The sequence below is a fragment of the Homo sapiens genome, chromosome 12 (genome assembly GCF_000001405.40).
Source record: "Homo sapiens chromosome 12, GRCh38.p14 Primary Assembly".
NCBI classification, from domain to species: Eukaryota; Metazoa; Chordata; class Mammalia; order Primates; family Hominidae; genus Homo; species Homo sapiens.
Window position 1 is genome coordinate 48,526,571 of NC_000012.12, and position 17,241 is coordinate 48,543,811.

At 39.7% G+C, this 17,241-nt stretch overlaps 1 annotated feature.

Annotated features, from left to right (window-relative positions):
* Positions 15,855-15,964: a silencer, noted in NCBI's record as "silent region_4408". NCBI's record gives its function as "represses an Ori minimal core promoter by ATAC-STARR-seq in GM12878 lymphoblastoid cells {active_cell/tissue: GM12878}" and the evidence as "EXISTENCE:reporter gene assay evidence [ECO:0000049][PMID:35858748]".

Below are 17,241 nucleotides of genomic sequence, written 5' to 3' on the forward strand. Positions count from 1 at the left end.
GTTAAAAAACAAACATTGTTGGCCGAGCACTGTGGCTCATGCCTGCAGCAGGAGGATTGCTTGAGCTCAGGAGTTCGAGATTAGCTTGGCCAACATGGTGAAACCCTGTCTCCAAAAAAAAAAAAAAATAGGCCGGGCATGGTGGTGTGCACCTGTAATTCCAGTTACTTGGAAGGCTGAGGGAGGAGGATCACTTGAGCGTGGGAGGTCAAGGCTGCAGTGAGCTGAGATTGCACCACTGCACTCCAGCCTGGGCAACAGAGCAAGACCCTGTCTCAAAAAAAAAAGATTTTGGAAAATTTAGGTCAAGCTGCATACAACATGACACTGGATAAGTTTATAGTAGTAAGTATTCCTGGCTACCCTCAGTGTCTGATACTGCAAGCTGTAAATTAGAAGTGCATGAGAGAATGGTACAAAGTTATTACAAGTAGGAAGGTTAACTTTAATCCCTCTTAGTGACAAAGCAAATTATTAAATTATTACCTCAATAAAGTTTTGTTATGAACATATTGATTCATTTTTCTCATTCTAAAACATTCATCTTGGGCTTTGCATTTAGTAAAATCATTAGCGTCGCAAATCTATCATTATTTTTAATTTACTTTGGTGAACACACTAAAAGTCATGGCATTTAATAAGAACACAGTGTCATGGATGCGTGGGAGAGAAAAGTCACTAGATAAGACTTGATGGGAAGAAAGAGAAAGATTTCCAACCGTGTGGCCATAGAAGACATAAACACCTAAGAGAACTTCAGAGAGGGAATCAACATACTGAGGCAGAACTTGGACTCAGATAAAATTCCCAAGAACTTCACTGTGTGTGCAGCTTGGTGGCCAGCTCTCCGGTGCAAAAGATTGCAAGGAGGCTCTGTGGCTCTAGAAACTTCATTCCTCACATGGTCTTCATTCACTGTATACGGGATTTATATTTTTTCCAATTAGCTGATCTTATCAGTGTGTCTTTTCCTTGTAGAGTGCAGGCTATGTACCCTAGACAAATAATCTTGTTTTGACCTCATCTCAAGTGAATCCTGAAACTATCTTTGTCTCATCTTTCATTGTTTAGTGTCAGGTGGTTTGCCGGTTCTAAGGGCACTGAAAAACTCTCACGTAATAAACATTTTTTCCTATAAAACAAATGCTTCTGATTTGTTTAAGCTATATTTTACAATTGCCTAACTTACTGTAGTTAACTGAAAAGGTGCAAAAACTATCTACAAATTATTGAATTTATTGAATATTAACTTGCACTTTTCTCAAGCTTCTTTCACAAACTCTCTTCGTTCTAATTGTCAGTTTTAAAAGCTTTTCATGAAAAAAACGTATCTGTTACAAGGGGGAAAGAAGCCTCCGGGACAGCAGTCATTTGCCTCAGCTGCACAAAGGCCAGGCCAGATGGAAGAGACCAGCCTTCACCGAAGGCCGCAGGGAGCCCGGACACCCGGAGCTGAGCATTCCGGTCACGCCTCAACCCCAAGGGGCCTGCGCATGCTCCGCGCTGCGCGCGGCGCCCACGGCCCTGCCCTGATACGCAGGAGCCCCGGGATAGAGAAACCCAGATGAAAACACAAGCCCAGTGAGATGTTGGCCTCCTCATCTGCTACCCTCGCCGTCACCTCTGCGCACCAAGCCTTCTGTCCCGGAGAAGAAGCCGTATTTGGTCTCCCTCGATGGGCGAGACCGGGGCCACGCGGGCACCGTGATCCCGCCACTGCATCCCGGGGACCCGCCGCTCATCCTGGAGCGGCTCAGGGCCGTTTAGCAGCTTCCGCAGGTGCTGCCTGGCCCCCGTAGACACCAAGCCAGCTTATCAAAATTAAGGCAGAAGGCCCAGCATTCGGTGTCCACACACCTGGACAAGCAGGAATGGAATCCTACAATGCGCAAAAACTGATTGCGAAGTGGCCTGAGGCAGAGTGTTTTTCAGTCAGGGACGTTGAAAGCTGGAGTTGACGGGGTTCTTTATCAGATGGTGGATCCAGAACTAAACCACATCCCCAGGCCACCAGTGGAATGAGCAATTCACGAGATCCTGGGCGCCCAGAAGACAGCAATGGTGCCAGTGCCCCCTCCAGAGCCCAAAGACCAGTACCCTCCAGCCTTCCATCTCAGGGCGCTTCCCAAGAATATGTCCCACCCGTTTTGAAAGCTCCATTTGAGTTAATGGTGAAGAAGTAGCTTCGGTTACATGGTTACATAAGAGTGCAACTTCAGAATGAAGATAGGCCGAGGTCTCACTGATTTCGGTATTTCAGCCTTGACTGTGGGCAGTGTCCAGTTTGAACGGGGAGAGAGTTTGACGTTGGGGAAGTTGACTGTGTTGTCCCCTTCGTTGTGCCGCCATTTGACCAGCCTGTCCAAAGGTACAACGCCCAGTAGACACTACAGGGAGATAGAGAGACACTGCAGCAACCTGAGGTTGTCCTGAGACAAACTTTTATACTTGAACATGGAGACTGCACATGGATTTTGGGTTTGTGCTCTGTAATACACAAAAGCTACAATTAAAGAACATAACCAGTCCCAAAGATAATTTCAAAGAATAACGGCAATTTAAGAGGTAGCTGGAAGTGGGGATTTGACAGTGCTTATTTGACGTTACTTCTCAGAGTTGCAAACTAAAATGTACAAACCGTTAGCATCAGATATCTTGATGGTTGAAGGTTGTTATGACCTTCCTGTACATGAATCTTTTACGTTCCCTTTCCCTTGTAAGAGGTGACAAAACATGGAACCCTAGAATGTGTGAGGAAGCTTGGACATTAGGTATAAGGAAAAACATTTGCAAGCTGTCTGTCCAGGGCCTCTTCCTGTCCTGCAAGGGCTGGTGAGTCTTGGGTGTGTTTAGTTTATTCTCATGTTTGTGTTATTTGAAAAAGTGAATGGTCAATAAATGGCTTCAGATTTATAATAAAATCATTTGATACTAAAAGAAAGAAATTTCACTAGGAATTTATCCTGAGTAAATCATCATGAATATGCACAAATGTATTTTTACAAAGATGTTTATTTCAATACTATTTATAGAGGTTAAAATTTTTGTAGCAATCGCCGGGCACGGTGGCTCACACCTGTAATCCCAGCACTTTGGGAGACCGAAGTAGGCAGATCACCTGAGGTCGGGTTCAAGACCAGCCTGACCAACACGGAGAAACCCCTTCTCTACTAAAAATACAAAATTAACCAGTCACGCTGATGCATGCCTGTAGTCCTAGCTATTCGGGAGACTGAGGCAGGAGAATCGCTTGAACCTGGGAGGCGGAGGTTGCGGTGAGCCGAGGTCATGTCATTGCACTCGGCAACAAGAGGGAAACTCCAATGCAAAAAAAAAAAAAAATTGTAGCAATCTAGATGTCTAACAATATGGTTTTTGTTACATATATTCTACTACATCCAGAGAAATATTTCATTACACGGAAACATTCATGATATACACTGTTAAGTTTTAAAAAAGTATATCACAACTCAACATGTAAAGTACAATCTGATTTACGTTTTTATAACTATATTTATTTCTGTCTGTATAACTATGTCATTGTAAATTTATCTATCTACCTATCCATGTTTATATCTGTCATTATTGATATTGCCACAGAAAAAAATAGACACCTCCAAATATTCATTTCTTAATAATGTACAAAATAAAAAATACCCTCATCTGGCCATTGATATTTCACAAATGGTGTCTCCTCTCAACTGATACGCCAGAATACCCTAAACACACTATATATTCCAAACACAACAATTCAAGGCCTGATTTGCTTTCTTTGGCCTAAGATGAGGCATCAGTTAAAACCCCAAGTCAAGCTTCCTATGGTGAAGGAGAGTAGAAATACCTGAACCCTGGACTTGAAGTTGGTTATAGTCAGCGCACAGATGTCACAGGAGGATAGTGATTGAGAGAAAGATACCAACAGACCCAAATTCCTTTTAGCATAAGTAAAAGACATTAGATCATAACTGCATGAAGACATGTCTACAATTCTAGAGGCTCAGCAATGGTCTCCCCATTGCAGGGGCAATGCCCTTGAACTTCAATGCTCACATAACCCCACTGCTTACTATACCGCCCTTCAGTAAAAAGACCCCATCTAGTCCTTAAGGAAACTCTTCTTGTAATTCTCTCAAGGGTTTTTATGTTGTGGCCTCCAGAAATATGAGGAGACCTTGGCTATATATTGACCCTCCCAAGAAGTATAAATAACTGTTGACAATCCTAGCATATACCTGAGTGCTTATTAATGAGAGATTGAATTTATAGGGAATTTCTGAGCATTAATTTCCCAGATACACCGTCACCTTAAGAGGCCTGAAGTTTCCTCCTACAAGACAGATGACAAAAAGGGTGCAAATATACTAGAGACAAAACCACGCAAAGTAATAGTTCATGCTGAGGTTTTTCAATATTATTCTAGCTTCATTGCACTATTTGCTGTTTTACTATTAAAGCCTTTGCAAACTATAAAATTTCTTCTGTCTTTTATCCTCATAAAACATATCACACTTAAAAAGTATGTACTAAACATGTACATTCCAGTTAAAGAATGATTACAAATGAATGTACATGTACCCACTACCCAGCTTTAAGAATTATTCATTTTATTCCAGGCATGGTGGCTCACACCTGTAATCCCAGCACTTTGGGAGGCCAAGGCAGGCAGATCACGAGGTCAGGAGATCGAGACCATCCTGGCTAACATGGTGAAACCCCGTCTGTACCAAATATACAAAAAATTAGCCGGGTGTTGTGGCGGGCGCCTGTAGTCCCAGCTACTTGGGAGGCTGAGGCAGGAAAATGGCGTGAACCCAGGAGGCAGAGCTTGCAGTGAGCCAAGATCGCTCCACTGCACTCCAACCTGGGCGACAGAGCGAGACTCCGTCTCAAAAAAAAAAAAAAAAAAGTTATTCATTTTACCACCCCTCCTCTACTACCCAAAACTAATCACTACCCTGGATTTGTTCATCATTCCCCTTGCTTTGTCGGGGATCAGAACATGATACCCCAAAATGTGGCACTTTAGCATACTGAGTATTTTAAGCAGAAGGAAACAGAAAACCCCAGAATCAGGAAGATCACTCTCTGAACTTCTCCCACCTTTCTTCTTTGAAGAAGGTAATTAGAAAAATTCTCTGACCTATGTCCCCTGAAAGTAGGTCATAAGACCCTCACTCCAGAGGAGTCTTGCCAAGAAGAATCTGAAGCCGTTAACTACCATTAGATCACACCCCTTTGTCCTCCAATCATTCTTCTGTGTGACTGTCCATAAGAATACACAGTTTTCCCTGGGTTTTGGGGTCTTCATTTCTGAAGACTCCAATGTCACATAAAAGTTATATTAAATAAATTTGTATGCTCTTGTTATTCAGTCTTTTGATATAGGGGTATCAGCCAAGAACCTTGTGATAGATGAGAAAAGGATATTACTTTTTCTCTCTTACAATTTTCTTTAAATAATTTAGTTTTATCTGGTTCTGAAGTTTAGATAAATAAAATTATATTATAAGTATTATTGTGACTTGCTTCTTTTCACTCACAGGAAATTATCACCAGACCTAACTATGCTAATTATCAAGAAGACCTAACTATGCTGAATACCTATGCACCCAGATTCATAAAGCAAATATCCTTTTGCTTTAAATTTGCATAAAGCAAATTCTTAGAGACCTGCAAAGAGACTTAGATAACTGCACAATAATAGTGGGAGACTTCAACCGTCCATTGATAGTATTAGACAGATCATCAAGGCAGAAAACTAATAAAAAGATATTCAGGACCAGAACTTGACACTTGATCAATTGGACCTAATACACATCTGCAAAACTCTCCACACAAAAGCAACAGAATATACATTCTTCTCATCGCCACATGACACATACTCTAAAATTGACCATAAAATCGGACATAAAACAATCCTCAGCAAATGAGAAAGAACCAAAATCATACCAACCACAATCTTTCTATAAAAAAAGAAATCAGTACTAAGAAGATTGCTCAAAACCATACAATTATGTGGAAATTAAACAAACTGCTCCTGAATGACCTTTAGGTAAACAATAATATTAAGGCAGAAATCAAGAAATTTTTTGAAACTAATGAGAACAAAGATACAACATACCAGAATCTCTGGGGCACAGTTAAACAATGTTAAGAGTGAAGTTTATGGTGCTAAACACCCACATCAAAAAGTAGAAAGATCTCAAATTAAAACCTAACATCACACCTAGAGGAACTAGAGGAACAAGAGCAAACAAACCACAAAGCTAGAGGAAGGCAAGATCAGAGCTGAACTGAAGGAAATTGAGATGAAAAAAGCATACAAAAGATCAATAAATCCAGGAGATTGTTTTTTGAAAGAATAAATAAAATAGATAGACTACTAGATAGAATAATAAAGAAAAAAAGACAAGATCCAAGTAAACACAATCAGAGATGCCAAAGGGCACGTTACCACCAACCCCACAAAAATATATATATATAAAAAAGACTGCTATGAACACTTCTATGCACACAAGCAAAAAACCTAGGAAAAACAGATATGTTCCTGGATGCATATACCCTCCCAAGACTGAACCAGGAAGAAATTAAATCCCTGAACAGATGAATAATAAATTGCAAAATTGAATGAGTAATAAAAAGCCTATGAACCAGAAAAATCCCAGGATGAGGCAGATTGAAAGCTGAATTCTACCAGATGTATAAAGAAGAGCTGGTATGATTCCTACTGAAGCTAATGCAAAAAAAAAAAAAAAAAAGAGGAACAGGGACTCCTCTCTAATTCATTCTATGAGGCCAACATTATTCTTATGCCAAAACCTAGCAAAGACACAACAACAACAAAACTTCAGGCCACTATCCTTCATGAACATAGATGCAAAAACCCTCAACAAAATACTGTCAAACCAAATCCAGCAGCACATCAAAAAGCTAATCCACCATGATCAGATAAGTTTTATCACTGTGATGCAAAGTTGGTTCAACATATACAAATCAATAAATGTGATTCATCACATAAACAAAACTAGAAACAAAAACCACATGATCATCTCAGTGGATGATCCATCTCATCCATGGATTTCTCAATCCATCTCAATGGATTCAGAAAAGGCTTTTAATAATATTCAACATCCTTTCATGTTAAAAACCCTCAGCAAACTAGGCTTTGAAGGAATATACTTCAGAATAATAACAGTCATTTATGAAAACCCATAATGAACATCATACTAAATAGGCAAAAGCTGGAAGCAAAACCAGAACAAGACAAGGATGTCTTCTCTCATCACTTCTATTCAACATAGTTCTGGAAGTCTGAGCCAGAGCAATCAGGCAACAACAAAAGGCATCCAAATATGAAGAGAAAAATCAAACTTTCCCTGTTTGCAGATGATATGATTCTACACCTAGAAAACCCCATAGTCTCTGCCCAAAATCTCCTTGATATGATAAATAACTTTAGCAAATTTCAGGACACAAAATCAATGTACAAAAACCAGTAGCATTCCTGTACATCAACAATATCCAAGCTGAGAGCCTAATCAAGAATGCAATCTCATTCACAATAGCCACACAAAAAAAAATTCCTAGGAGTACAGCTAACCAGGGAGAAGAAAGATATTTACAAGAATTATAAAACACTGCTTAGAGAAATCAGAGATGACACAAACAAATGGAAAAACATTCAATGCTCATGGATAGGAAGGATCAATGTTGTTAAAATAGCCATACTGCCCAAAACAATTTACAGATTCAGTGCTATTCCTATCAAACTACCAAGGACATTCTTCACAGAAATTGAAAAAACTATTTAAAAATTCATATGAAGCCAAAAAAGAGTTTGAATAGGCAAGGCAATCCTAAGCAAAAGAATAAAGCTGGAAGCATCACATTACCCAACTGCAAACTATACTACAGAGCTGCAGTAACCAAAACAGCATGGTACAGATACAAAAACAGACACATAGATCAATGGACCATAATAGAGAGCCCAGAAATAATGCCACACACCCACAACCATCTAATCTTCAACAAAGTTGACAAAAAGAAGCAATGAGGAAAGAACTCCCTACTCAATAAATGGTGCTGGGATAACTGGCTAGCTATATGTGGAAGATTGAAACTGAACCACTTGCTTACACCACATACAAAAATCAATTCAAGATGGATTAAAGAATTAAATGTAGAATCCAAAATTATAAACACTCTGGAAGATAACCTAGGATATACCATTCTGGATGTAGGCCTTGGCAAAGATTACATGACAAAGATGCCAAAAGCAATTGCAACAAAACCAAAAATTGACAAATGGGGCCTAACTAAGTGAAAGAACTTCTGCACAGCAAAAGAAACTATCAGCAGAGTACAGAGACAACCTAAGAATGGGCGAATATTTTTGCAAACTATGCAGCCAACAAAGGTCTAATATCCAGACTCTATAAGGAACTTAACCCTTTTCCCACTTAGAAACAAAACGTGCAACTCGCTGCTGACGCTCATTTAATTTTACATAAACATGCTTTTTGAGACTGAAGCAAATCTGACTGACTTTTAATGTGAAAATAAAATATAAAAACTGTTCTTGGAGTTATTTATAAACAGAACTAACATCAGAATTGTCTGAATTATCAGAATCGCCTATTTTGGAAAAATCTGTTTCATCAAATGAATCTTTGGTCAACAACTGTTAGAGAACAATATTAACATCACACACAGGAATGCTATGTTTTCTAGGATTTGACATTTGCAGCAATTGAGAACTACTATGTTTCATGAATGGAAATACCACTACTAAAAACAGAATGCTTTAAAAGAACAATGTCTTTTGTTTCCAAAGTTGATATACTAAAGCAATGCAAAAATAATAATAAAAGCAAGATATTTTATGGCAAAGTTATCTTGGGGTAAACACTGCAGCCACAAGCACAACTGGTGAGTATTCTCAGGGCAAACAGGAAAAGGGTTAAACAAATTAACAAGCAAAAAACAACCCCATTAAAAAGAAGGCAAAGCACATGAATAGACACTTTTAAAAGAAAATGACACACGGCCAACAAGCATATGAAAAAATGCTCAACATCACTAATCATTAGAGAAATGCAAATCAAAACTACAATGAGATACCATCTCACACCAGTTATAATGGCTATTAATAAAAAGTCAAAAAATAAAAGATGCTTGTCAGGTTACAGAGAAAAGGGAAGTCTTATGCACTGCTGATGGCAATGTAAATTACTTCAGCCATTGTGGAAAGAGGCGTGACAATTTCTCAAAGAACTTAAAGCAGAATTGTCATTCAACCCAGCGATCCCATTATTGGATATATACCCGAAGGAATATAAATTATTCTACCATAAAGACACATACATGCATATGTTTCTCACAGCACTATTCACAATAGCAAAGACATGGAATCAACCTGGGTGCCCATCAACAGTAGACTGCATTTTTAAAATGTGGTACATATACACCCTGGAATACTACGCAGCCATAAAAAGGAATGAGATCATGTCTTTTGTAGCAACATGGATAGAGCTGGAGGACATTATCCTAAGCAAACTAATGCAGGAACAGAAAACCAAATACTGCATGTTCTTACTTATAAGTGGGAGCTAAATGATGAGAACACATGGACTCAAAGAAGGGAACAACAGACACCAGGGCCTACTTGAGAGCAGAGGGAGGGAGGGAGGAGGGATAATACTGAAAAACTACCTATTTGGTGACAAAATAATCATACACCAAAGCCCCATGACATGCAATTTATCCATATAACAAACCTGCACATGTACCCCTGAACCTAAAATAAAAGTAAAAAAAAAAAAAAGATAATGCACCACAATCAAGTGGGATTTATACTAGAGATGCAAGGATGGTTCAAAATATGAAAATCAATAAATGTGATAATATTATATCAACAGAATGAAGGGCAAAAGCCATATGATCATCTCAATAGATGGAGAAAAGAATTCTATAAAATTAAATATCACTTCATGATAAAAACTCTCAATAAACTAGACTTAGAAGAAACATACCTCAAAATAATCAAGGCCATATATGACAAACACACAGCCAACATCAAACTGAATGGGGAAAAACTGACAGACTTTCCTCTAAGAACTGGAAAAAGACGAGGATGCCCATTTTCACCACTCCTATTCAACATAGCACTGTAAGACTCCTGGCCATAGAAATCAGGCAAGAGAAAGAAGTAAAAGGCATCCACATTGGAAAAGAGGAAGTCAAATTGTCAAATTGTTTCTTAGTTGATGATATGATCTTATACCTAGAAAAATCTAAAGACTCCACTAAAAAACTCTTAGATTTGATAAATGAATTAAATAAAGTTTCAGGATACAAAATAAATGTACAAAAATTAATAGAATTTCTATAGAATGATAGTAATTTAACTAGGAAAGAAATCAAGAAAGCAATCCCATTTACAATAGCTACAAAAGTAAAACAAAATACCTATAGTGACAAATTAAACCGAGGAAGTGAAAGATCTCTACAAGAGAAACAACAAAGCACTGATGAAAGAAATTGTAGACAACACAAACAAATGGAAAAACATCCCATGATCACAAATCAGAAGAATTAATATCATCAAAATGACCATACTGCCCAAAGCAATCTACAGATTCAATGCAATCCCTATCGAAATGCCAACATCATTCTTCACAGAATTAGAAAAAGCAATTGTGAAATTCATATGGAACCAAATAGAGCCCAAACAGCCAAAGAATCTGGAGGATAAAGAACAAAGCAGCCCACATCACATTACCTGATGTCAAAATATATTACAACACTATAGTAACCAAACAGCATGGTATTGGTATAAAAATAGACACATAGACCAATGGAACAGAATAGAGAACCCAGAAATAAAGCCACAAATTTATAGCCAACTGATTTTGACAAAGCCAGCTAGAACTTACATTATGGAAAGGACACCATTTTGAATAAAAAGTGCTGAAAAAATTAGATAACCATATGCAGAAGAATGAAACTGGACCTATATCTCTCACCATATACAAAAATCAACTCAAAATAGATTAAAGACTTAAATTAAAAGACCGAAACTAGGCCAGGCACAGTGGCTCATTCTTGTAATCCCAGCACTTTGGGAGGCCGAGGCAGGCATATCACTTGAGCTCAGGAGTTCGAGACCAGCCTGGGCAACATGGCAAAATGTTGTCTCTACAAAAAGTATAAAAATTAGCCAAGCATGGTGGTGTATGTCTGTAATCCCAGCTATTCAGGGGGCTGAGGCAGGAGGATCGCTTGAGCCCGGGTGGTCAAGGCTGTAGTGAGCTGCAGTGGTGCCACTGCACTCACCCTGGGTGACAGAGCAAGACCCTGTCTCAAAAAAAAAAAAAAAAAGAAAACCTAGGAAAAACTCTTCTGGGCATTGGTCTAGGCAAAGAATTCATGACTAAGACCTCAAAAGCACAAGCAACAAAAACAAAAATAAATAAATGAGATTTAATTAAACTAAAAAGCTTCTGCAAAGCAAAAGAAATAACCAACACATGAACAGACAACCTGCAGAATGCAAGAAAGTATTTGCAAACTATGCATTCAACAGGGTATTAATATTCAGAATGTACAAGGAATGCAAACAACAACAACAAAAACAAATAATCCTATTTAAAAGTGGGCAAATGGCCAGGTGCAGTGGCTCATGCCTGCAATCCCAACACATCTGGACATCGAGGCAGGAGGATCACTTGAGCCGGGAGTTCAAGACCAGCCTGGGCAATGTAGCAAGACCCCGTCTCTATTAAAATTAAAAAGTTAGCTGGGCATGGTGGTGTGAGTCTGTGGTTCCAGCTACTGGGGAGGCTGAGGTGGGAGGATCACTTGAGCCCAGGAGGTTGAGGGTGCAGTGAGCTATGATTGCACTACTGCACTCCAGTCTGGGTGACAGAGCAAGACTCTATCTCAAAAAAAAAAAAAAAGTGAAAGAAGGATGTAAATAGATATTTTGCAAAAGAAGACATATGAATGGCCAACAAGTATAGGAAAAAATGCTCAACGTCACTCATCATCAGAGAAATACAAATTAAAATTGCAATAAGATATCATCTTACACCAGTCAGAATGGCTAGAATTCAAAGGACAAAAAATAACTGATGTTGGTGAGGATGCAGAGAAAAGGGAATGCTTATACACTGTTGGTGGGAATGTAAATTAGTACAACCTCTATGAAAAGCAGTATGGAGATGATGGATATGTTAATTAGCTCCATTACGGTGATTATTTCACAATGTATACATATATCAAAATATCAGTTTGCATATCTTAAATATATACAATTTTTGTTCATCAATTATACCTCATAAAAGCTGGGGGGAAGGATGTATTGGTGTATTTAATGAAATATTGAAAAGACATTTATTTTTCCTATTTAAGAATGAGGATATACAAGGAGGCTGCATGCCTTCAGATGACCCCTCAACGCAGTCACTGTGCCTAGGTATCTGTGTTTACATCTCAGACCCATAGGAATGACCCCACAAAAACACTGAATCTCATTTGAAAAGAATTACAAGTGTTTGGGGTGGGGATAAGTGTCAGAAGGGAGAGGAAATAAGGCAGGCAATCACTGACTCCCTTCTGATCCAGTGATACCATACTATATGTGATACAAGTGGTTTGGGAATAGAATTCAGTAGACATTTCAGAAGGGTCAGGCTTCTCTACTTAACTCTGACTTATTACAATAGCCCTAGAACTCAAGTGGTGGAACAATCAATAGTTTAGGTTAAGTATCCTTTCCCTTTACACAGAAAGTATCCATCAAACTCCAAAGGAAAGGAAAATGGTGGAAAGGCTAAATTAGCATGACTAGCAATCGTGGGAGTTCTCTTGCTGCCACCACTCTTAAGCCTTGGCTTCACCTCTGTTCCCACTCAGGTTGGTCCCTAAAGAGTACATGAAAAGAGAAATGAGAAGTGGACTTGGGCAGAAAAATGAGCATAGCTAAATGAGCTAAATGGTAAGCATCATGTTTTCATTCCCCAAAACATGTCCTCTCTCTTTCTTATCATCATAAGGTTAGTTGGGACCCAGAAAAATGGCAAGTCCCTTGAGAACTTCCCTGCAAAATATGGTGCAACCACTATGAACAAGAAATGGAAGAATGAATTGTACAGGTATAAGAGGTAAGAGATCCTTTCCTGAGTTCCCCTTAGCCTTAGAATGACAGGGGAAGGCAGTGACTACTAGTAGGGCAAGAATGTCAGCTTACAGGCCGGGTGCGGTGGCTCCTACCTGTAATCCCAGCACTTTGGGAGGCTGAGGAGGGCAGATCATGAGGTCAGGAGTTCAAGATCAGCCTGGCGTGTATGGCGAAACCCCGTCTCTACTAAGAATACAAAAATTAGCCGGGCATGGTAACGCACACCTGTAGTCCCAGCTACTCGGGACGCTGAGGCAGAAGAATCGCTTGAACCCGGGAGGCGGAGGTTGCAGTGAGCCAAGATTGCGCCACTGCACTCCAGCCTAGGTGACAGAGGGAGATTCCATCTCAAAAAAAAAAAAAAAAAAAGAATGTCAGCTTACGAGAGAGTTAGCAGCCCACTGTAGTATACTATAAGACACATATTGCAGCTGTAAGATTAATGATAACCATAAGGCCCACTCAAACATCTCACAGGACCTACACTATATATGATGATGCAACTTGTCCTAGTAATACTCTGGCCAGAGTTGGAAATCCCCAGGCCACCTTGCATCATACTGCTAAGTGACATATAGTGTGGGCCATGTGTGATATTTGAGTGGGCCTTATGGTTATTGTTAATCTTGTAGCCACAGTATGTCTCTAATAGTATACTACACCCACAAAGGGTCTTATGACCAGAACAAAAGGAAATTGACTTAGCAAATATGCCTTGGACAGCCTTGCCAGCAACTGGATAAGGATCATCTACGCCATGCTAGATTACCAGGAGAGAGAGGGCCACACCTGAGGGCCAGAGGGGATGAGTCACATGTGGAGCAGGAAATCAGCATAGAACCAAGGCAGGCCACCAGTGAGTAGATGCCTGTGGTCACCAACACCACAGTTACTCTAGGGTCAGCATAACATCAACCCCCAGTAAGAGACAAGAAGGGGAAAATCTTAATGTATAGTTATGAAACCTTAAATGACTGAGAAATCACAGAATTTTCCACTGAGTTCATACTTAACATGACTGAATTAAATTTTTGCTTCAGACATAAACAGAAGCTTGAAAGATAAATTAATACAGTTTGAGGATTCCTAATCCAAAATTCTCCAAAATTCAAAACTTTTTGAGCACCAACATGAAGCTCAAAGGAAATGCTCACTGGAGCATCTGAATTTTGGAATTTAAGATTAGGGATGCTCAGCTGGCAAGTGTGATGAAAATATTCCAAAATCTGAAAAACTGTGAAACCCAAAACATTCCCTCCCAAGCATTTTGGATGAGAGATACTCATCCAAAATGTGTATCTCCAAAATGTGTTTAAAATAAAATCATATTTTGCATACCTGAGTCTGTGGGCTAAAAAATTACAATACACCACTGATCAAGAAAATGCAAGTTAGACCAGGCACGGTGGCTCACACCTGTAATCCCAGCACTTTGGGAGGCTGAGGAGGGTGGATCACCTTAGGTCAGGAGTTTGAGACCAGGCTGGACAAAATGGTGAAACACTGTCTTTACTAAAAGTACAAAAAACTAGCCAGGCATGATGGCAGGCACCTGTAATCCCAGCCACTTGGAGGTTGAGCCATAAGAATCACTTGAACCTGGGAAGTGAAGGTTGCAGTAAGCTGAGATCACACCATTGCACTCCAGCCTGGGCGACAAGAGCAAAACTCCATCTCAAAAACAAAAAAAAAAGAAGAAAATGCAAGTTTGTGTTGACATTACCTTTACTCCCTGAGACATCTGTGTCTTTGGACAGGAGACAAAAATGATGAACTACCTAGTGTCTTTACAGATTTTCAGACAGAGTTCGAATTTTATCATTTTGTTGCTTGACTTCCACAATAATCAAGCTATAGATTATGAATTTTAAAAGTGTTACAATGCAGTCCTGCAAAGATAATGCAGGACTGCATGTGTTACAATGCAGTCCTGGTCACACACAGAAACCATCGAGGTGCTAAGGCAGCTGACTAAGCCTGTCTTGTATAATAGAATTCACCAGATATTGTGGGGAGAAGATGGAGAAGGCCTTGCTCTTACAGTTAGCTGAGCTCATTACCCATCGCTGATTCCTGATCTGAGGGTGAAGCAGGTCCTGGCATTACCTTATAGAGAGAGGACAGCTGGAACCCATGCCAGGTCTCACTGGACACCTTGTGTGAGACATCCTTTGGCTGTGACATTTCTCCTTACTTCAAGTTACTTCTGTGTTGTATCCTTTTCCCAAAGTAACCATAGGTTGGTAAGCATCATTATTTGGGGTCCTGTGAGGGACCAGAAGTGTTTTTGGACTTTGCAATTGAAGAAAAATTAGGTGTTTTGGACTTAGCCATTACTCTCTGCCTAACTGCTGCCATTAGTTCAGCCAGCCAGCATCATATGTGGGATTAGAAATTTGTCTCCCCAACTCATTTTTAGCTAAAACTATAACTAAGGCATTATTTAGATAGAAAAGGGGTGGTTCCGATAAAGAGGATGAAAATGAATCATTGACGCCATGTGGTTGGTTGCCTACTTGCCCTTAGTTTGAAGTAGCACATGCTTTGAAATCACTTGCTGATAATAAACCTTCCCAGTGAGATCTGAAAATTATAAAACTGAAACCTCAGGAGCTAGTAAAATGGATTGGCAGGAAATTTCAATCCAGTGGCAGGTCCACTAAAATTCAGTTCCACGGTTGCTGCATTAGCAAAGGTAAAAGGAAGCCCAAAGATCTCCTTTGGCTGAGCTTCACATTCTCTGGCCAGGAGACGGCGCTCCAACCAAAGGAAGCTGGGCAACCATAACCTGACACCGGGTTGTAACTATGAGACTAATTACTACTAAGAAGATATTTAGTTAAGTTGAAATGTATTTCTAATATGTAGGCAATTTTAATTTTGATGTAGTTGTTTAATTTTTCTGTAATTAATGGGCCATTGAAAATTGCATTCTTGTTAATTGTTGGAATTTTCTTACTGGCCTTACATGGCAAGTTTTGGTTATTCCTCAGCCATTATATATATATATATATGCCACCTTTTTATGGCAAAAATTACTTTTTGGTTGTAAAGTTGTTTATTCTGTGTTCTTTGCTAATAAAGATTTGTTATCGGCCGGGCATGGTGGCTCACACCTGTAATACTAGCACTTTGGGAGGCCAAGGGGAGCAGATCACGAGGTCATGAGATCGAGACCAACCTGGCCAATATGGTGAAACCCCATCTCTACTAAAATACAAAAAAAAAAAAAATTAGCTGGGCGTGGTGGCTCGTGCCTGTAGTCCCAGCTACTCAGGAGGCTGAGGCAGGAGACTCACCTGAACCTGGAGGTGGAGGTTGCAGTGAGCCAAGATCATGCCACTGCACTCCAGCCTGGTGAGAGAGCAAGACTCTGTCTCAAAAAAAAAAAAAAAAAAAAAAAAGACATTTCAAATGGGGCAAGCTGACTGATAATGGAAGGACGGCAAAAGGAAACATGAAAGTAAGGGGTTGTTAAGTGAAATCATTGAGACATTTTGTAGTGTTAAAAGCAGCTTCCCTTTGAGCCCTTGTTGAAATGGCTCCTGAGGGTTTTAGATCAAGGTGCAGTGTTCCTGTCCTTGAACACTGCTGAGTAGGGAAGAATGTTTGCCAGCTCCTAAGGGAATATTTGGGCTTACACTGGATCTTCAGTTGTCCGCTACCTTTGCAGGGACAGTTCATGGGGCAGCTGCTAGTTCACTAGACTGGATCAAGGGAAGGACGTGTCATACATACCCAGATTGTCTGAGCTCCTGGTTCTGATGTGTTTCACATACACATTGGTGGTTTCTAATCAAGAGAGTGAGCACATGCTAGTATGACCCTGTAGGGGGAAGAATATTGGAGCTCCCTCCAGGGCTGTCTCCAGGACTCCTTGATGGGAGGCAGCTTTTGGCTGTGGTGCATATCCTTACTTTAATGCTGTTGCTACATTTGTATCATTTTTCCTGCAAATCATAGATTTGTAAGCAACGTCATTTTGGGTCCCTGGAGTCTTCTTTATCAATGGAGTCCTGTCTAACTGTCATCATTAGTACAAAAAAACCTCTTACCCTCAG